Source organism: Homo sapiens, chromosome X, assembly GCF_000001405.40.
Source record: "Homo sapiens chromosome X, GRCh38.p14 Primary Assembly".
Taxonomy (NCBI): domain Eukaryota; kingdom Metazoa; phylum Chordata; class Mammalia; order Primates; family Hominidae; genus Homo; species Homo sapiens.
Genome location: NC_000023.11, coordinates 100,869,796 through 100,876,375, shown reverse-complemented (window position 1 = coordinate 100,876,375; position 6,580 = coordinate 100,869,796). Strand labels below are relative to the sequence as shown.

General features: G+C 37.7%; 1 protein-coding gene across 3 annotated transcripts in view; it reads left to right on the top strand.

Moving 5' to 3' along the window:
• Positions 2,017 to 6,580, top strand: part of NOX1 (NADPH oxidase 1) — a 31,036-nt gene continuing 26,472 nt past the window's right edge. For all 3 annotated transcript variants that reach the window (NM_001271815.2, NM_013955.3, NM_007052.5), the window contains exons 1-2: positions 2,017 to 2,281; positions 5,562 to 5,657. In NM_001271815.2, coding sequence (NP_001258744.1) covers positions 2,237 to 2,281; positions 5,562 to 5,657 — 141 coding nt within the window. In that variant the 5' untranslated portion in view covers positions 2,017 to 2,236. The remainder of the gene's footprint in view (positions 2,282 to 5,561; positions 5,658 to 6,580) is intronic.

Sequence of the window (6,580 nt, the reverse complement as noted above, 5' to 3'; positions counted from 1 at the left end):
AAAATTAGCCAGGCATGATGGCGCTTGCCTGTAATCCCAGCTACTCGGGTGGCTAAGGCATGAGAATCACTTGAACCCAGGAGGTGAAGGTTGCAGTGAAGGGAGATCACACCACTGTACTCCAACCTGGGTGACAGAGTGAGACCCTGTCTCAAAAAAATAAAAATAAAAATAAAAAGTACTTTTCAAAAATGATGCTGGGGCAATTCGTTTTCCATATTTAAAAGTAGTAAATTGGATACCATACATGAAAATCAGCTCCAGGTGGATTCAAAACATAAATGTAAAATGCAAAAATATAAAATTTCTAGAAGAAAATATAAAAGAGTATCTTGATATCTGGGTAGTGATGGATTTCTAAAACAAGACATAAAATGCATAAATCATAAAAGAAATGACTGGTAATCAGAGTGCATTAAAATTAAGAACTTCCATTTATCAGAAAACACTATTAAGAGACTGAAAAGACAAGCCATAAACATAAGCAATAAAAGATTAGTATAAGATTATAAACAGAACCCTAAGAATCTAAAAGCAAAAGAAAAACCAATAGAAAGATAGACCAAAAAGTAGAATAGGCTCAGAATAGGCTCTTTTAAAAAGAGAAAACTCAAATGGCCAGCAGTTGAATTAAAAGATGCTCAAACTCATTAGTAATCAGGGAAATGCAAATTAAAATCATAATACGATAGTTTTCCACACTTACTTGAATTATAAAAACAAAAAAGTCTGGAAAATACCAAGGGTTGGTAAGCATGTAGAGGAAGTAGAACTCTCATTCATAACTCTCTGTAGTATACATTTAGGTGGTCACTTCGGAACGGGTTTGGAATTACACAGCAAAGTAGAATATGTGCAAATCTCAGGACCCTGGAATTTTACTCCTGGGTATATACCTTAGAGAAACTGTAGCATATGTGTGACATTTGATCAACATTGTTCCATCATCATATCCATCAGTAGTAGGATGAATGAATACATTAATGTATATTCATTCATGCAATGGCATATTAGATAGCAGTGTAAGTGAACCGCAATTACATGTACATGTATGAATCTCAAAAACCCAATGTTGAAAGAAGCAAACCACAGAAGCATACATACACACTGCCAGGTTTCATTTACAAAAAGTTCAAAAACAGGAAAAACTAAACAATATATTGCTTAGGGATGCAATTATAGTTAGTAAAAATATAAAGAAAAATAACAGAATGATTACCCCAAATTTCAGGATAGTGATTACATCCGGTGGGGTAGAGGAGGGGAAGAAGATAGATGTGATCAGGGAGGGAAATACAAAGAGCTTTAAGATACTGGAGAAAAATAGTCTATTTTCTTTAATCTGAGTAGTGAACACATAGATACTTATTCCTTAAAATTATTCTTTAAGTTACATATGTATGTTTTATATACTCTTCTGTGTATATTTCACCATTTTAGAAAAGGGAAAAAAAATCAGTGCCCAGAGCTGAACACACAACTCTAGTAAATCTATCATACTAGAAGACAATCATCTCCATTCTTTTGAGTGCTCTGCCTCTGTTTATTTTGAACCAAAGTGCACTTTTATACTTGTTAAATTTTCTCTTGCTCTATTTGGCCCTTCTTTTCACTTGTCCTTCCAGCCAGTCAAGTTCTCCCCAAAGCCATCATCATATATGTCAACCACAGATCATCCTCCAGGGGAACTGGTATGCTAAAGTTTCTGAGCTAGCCAGGCTGAAATCCAAATGGCAGCCGGCAGATGTGGCAACAGTTTGAAAAGTGCACTTTGAAACAGCTTCCTTACCACACACGCTTCCCTCCCTACTTCTCCTGAAGTAATCTGTTTACAGACCCAGACTAATAATCTTTTTTATGAGAAACTTTAGCAAATCTTTTATCTAGGAAGGCAATGCTTCACATTAGGTCATGTTGATAAGATGATGAGAGAGAATATTTTCATCCAAGAATGTTGCTATTTCCTGAAGCAGTAAAATCCCCACAGGTAAAACCCTTGTGGTTCTCATAGATAGGGCTGGTCTATCTAAGCTGATAGCACAGTTCTGTCCAGAGAAGGAAGGCAGAATAAACTTATTCATTCCCAGGAACTCTTGGGGTAGGTGTGTGTTTTTCACATCTTAAAGGCTCACAGACCCTGCGCTGGACAAATGTTCCATTCCTGAAGGACCTCTCCAGAATCCGGATTGCTGAATCTTCCCTGTTGCCTAGAAGGGCTCCAAACCACCTCTTGACAATGGGAAACTGGGTGGTTAACCACTGGTTTTCAGTTTTGTTTCTGGTAAGTGATGTTTGACTTCCTATTAATTAGGAAGGATTAAGGAGAAATCATGTTTTTTAATATTTGTAAAGCAATTTGAAAGAGAAAGATGATTCCATGCCGATTATTGGGCTCATCAAGACCAGTTAGTTAAAAAATACAACTGTGGGTCAGATGAGAGGACAGAGGCAAATAACATGCAATTGTTCATGTTGTCAAATCACAAGTATTTGGAATTTCAATCTGTTTTCATTTTCTGTCATCTCCCTTTCTCTTCCATCTCACTTCTAACTACTACCATGAGTGCTGATTTCTCTCTATCTTTCCTATACTGGTCCCATCAAGATTTCAAAAAGTCACTGAATGTTTGAGATGAAAGTGATCTTAGAGATCATCTGGCCCAGTACTGACCACTAGAAATATAGCAAACCACATAATGTAATTCCTAAATTTTCTAATACCTACACCGAAAAGGTAAAAATAAACAGGTGAAGTTAATATTTAACAATATAATTCATTTAACCCAACATATCAACAAATCCTTTCAGTATGTATTCAATATTGAAAATATTAAGAAGCTAATTTACATATTTTTATTTTTACTGAGTCTTTCAAATCTGATGTGTATATATACCCACAGCACATCTCAGTGAGGACTAGCCACATTTCAAGTGCTCAGCAGCCCCATGTGGGTAGTGGCTGTGGCATTGCATAGTGCAGATGTAAACCAACTTATTGATTGTACAAAGGAAAATAAGACCTAGATGTCACACAATGAATTGACTGAATTGGCATCACTCGAACCCAGCTCCCCAATGACGTTCAGGCCAGAACCCCTTTATCACCCTTTGTATGCACAATCCCTTTCTCCTAACACTCTAACACCTCTCTCCACTCTCATTCTTCCATTTCTGAGCCACAGTTGAGCCTGGGGCTCCCTGTGTCCTTTCTCACTTTCCTAGATCTTCATTCATTACTCTTTCTCTTTTCTCCTGTTTTGCTTTTGGGTCCCACAGGCAAAACAGAAGAGAGAAGGTGTGATGCTTCTTTTTATTCCTGTCTACCCCCCCGCCCCCCGACCAGGTGCTCCAGGGAAAAATATGTGGAGTTTCCCTGGAGGGTTGTTTGTTTTACATTTAACAAAAGTGCTTATTTTGTCAGGTTATCCCATGACATATTTTAAATGCTCAATGCCTTATATTGAGTTCCTTTTGCACTATAATGGAAAGAACACTAGTTTAGGAGAAAGGGAACCTGGCAAGTACTTTGAATTCTGCTACTAACTGGGTGATCTCGATCAAATTATTTATCCTCTCTAGACTTCAGGTCCTGTGGGTGTGTAGGTGGGGGGAATTGGGCAGGGGAGGGGAGCAGGGGATTAATAAAGTGACTAGATTAGATACAAATATAAGGGTGTTTCTAGCTCTAAAATCCACATTTACCTGCATTTTTTCCCCCTCTCTTATTTTTTGCTGGGAGAGTTTACCAGCTATGATGGTGACTCACATTTAACTCTCTAGCTTTGAATTTTCATCCCCCACCAAACCAGCTGGCAAGCTTAGACTTCTCATTATCTCTGACATATACTCCTATGCACTGATTTTTAAATAAAAAATAAATTACTTAAAAATAGTTTTATTCCTCCTTCCTCCCAGGTCTTGTAGTTTACCTTCTTTGACGTTCATAGTGGAGGAAATGACAGCTAAGATGGGGAATGGAATGCCTTACTCCTAGATATCACTGTATTTCATCATTTGCCTTGCCTACAATTGATGATGGGCTGACACAGTTATTTGCCCCTGTGTCTCTTTGCGATCCAGAAATATTTCTGCTCCCTCTAAATAAACTTCTCTCCTCTGTCTTCCAAATTCTTGAGGTGTCTGTGACTGTTGACTTTCTTTTCTTTCAAAGACGTTTCTCTGGAAGACACTCAGCTCTGGAAAAGGGTAACTGAGCAAAGGAGGCAGGAAGAAATTGATTGGTAAAGCAGGTTCGGTGGTGACACAACTCTGTAGCTAGCACTTATTGATCTCTTACTAAGCCCCAAGCATTGCATTAATCACTTTACACGCATTATCTGACGTAAGCCTCATAGCATTACTATAAAGTAGGTCCTGTTATTATCCTCATTTTGCAGGTGAAGAAATTGAGGTTTAGAAAATTTAAATCATATGTCTGTCTGAGATTATAGAGCTATTAATTGGTGATGCTACAACTTGACTCCAATATCACACTTTAAATCACTATATTATAGTACTAAAGGTGTGTGAGTGGTCTAGATCTAGGGAGTCTGAATAGGCCATGTCCTAGGCTAAAGGCCCTTTGCCTGTTGTGCTGAGATGGTTCTGACTCATACTGTGGGGCGAGGGATATATACTAGCGCCCTGGAGACCTGTCGAATTACAGACTAGCACCTCCACACTTGGGCTAGAGACCAGTTGGTTGGTCCTCAAGGCAATGGGCAGTGAGTTCCAAATTTCACCTTTAGCCAGTGCAGAGACAGAACTTGGAACAGGCAAAAGCAGTCTTAAGAGCTCAAAAAAGTCCAAAGGAAAAATAGATTAATTTGAAAAAAGACTCACAATCTGAAAACAGAAAAATGTGTGTCAGGGTGTAATTAAAAAGGCAGGCCCATCTGGAATGGTTTAGTTCTTTTCAGTTAGGTATTGTTATAGGTGCTAAATTTGTTCTTTGTTTCTTCAGATATCCATTTATTCACTTATTGCCATCTTTTAGGTGCAACAGTTTGAATGCTCTAGTCCAAGAAATGGCAAATGTTTCTGTAAAAATCTAGATAGTACATATTTTAGGCTTTGCAAGCCATATGGTCTCTGTCCCAACTACTCTACTCCGTCATTGTATCACAAAAACAGCCATAAACAATACAAAAATGAGTAGCAGTGGCTAAGTTCCAATACCACTTTATTTATGGTCACTGAAATTTGAATTTCATATAACTTTCACATGCCACAAAATATTCTTCTTTCGATTTTCTCAACCATTAGCAAATTTGAAAATATAAAATATAAAAAACAATTCTGAGCTTGCAGGCTGTGGCAAAACAGGTAATGGGCCATGGGCCTCAGTTTGCTGACCCTGCTCTAGTCTAATGCATGTCTCAAAGTGCTAACTCACTCTGAAAGCCAGTTAGATACTAGCAGGATTGCACTCATTTAAAATGAAAACAGGTAAACACAAAATAGCCAAAACGGCGACACTATTGCTATCCCTATCCCTTATTTACTCCTTCCCATACTCAAATTTCACTTTATTCTTTGCATGTTTTTTTTTCTTTCTCTAGGTTGTTTGGTTAGGGCTGAATGTTTTCCTGTTTGTGGATGCCTTCCTGAAATATGAGAAGGCCGACAAATACTACTACACAAGAAAAATCCTTGGGGTGAGTATCACGGTTGTCACGGATAGAATCTCTATTGTTTTCCTTATCTCTGATTCCAGCTTCTTTGTGACCCAATGCCCTGATATTCTCTAGGGCTAGGGTTGCCAGAAAAAGTACAGAATGCCCAACTGACTTTGAGTTTCAGATAAATGACAAATTATTTTTTTATGTAAGTATGCTCCAAATACTGTATGAAACACAGGTATACTAAAATATTTATTTTAAAAAGTCTGAAGTTAAAATTTAGCTTAGCATCCTGTATTTTTATTAAATAAATCTGATAACCCCATCTAGGGCACACTACCCAGACCCAATAAAGGAAACATGCAATAAAGAAAACTATTAGGCAGTTGTTTTCAAACTGGTTTCCAGAAACTCAGGTGTTCCTACAGGGTATGAGGGGAAGGCTAACTGGGCAGTGCTCCTGCTCCTGCTCCTGCCCCTATTTCTTTTTTTTTTTTTTTTACAAGGAGGAACTGGTACCATTCTTCTGAAACTATTTCAATCAATAGAAAAAGAGGGAATCCTCCCTAACTCATTTTATGAGGCCAGCATCATTCTGATACCAAAGCCTGGCAGAGACACAACCAAAAAAGAGAATTTTAGACCAATATCCTTGATGAACATTGATGCAAAAATCCTCAATAAAATACTGGCAAACCGAATCCAGCAGCACATCAAAAAGCTTATCCACCATGATCAAGTGGGCTTCATCCCTGGGATGCAAGGCTGGTTCAATATACACAAATCAATAAATGTAATCCAGCATATAAACAGAGCCAAAGACAAAAACCACATGATTATCTCAATAGATGCAGAAAAGGCCTTTGACAAAATTCAACAACCTTTCATGCTAAAAACTCTCAATAAATTAGGTATTGATGGGACATATTTCAAAATAATAAGAGCTATCTATGACAAAC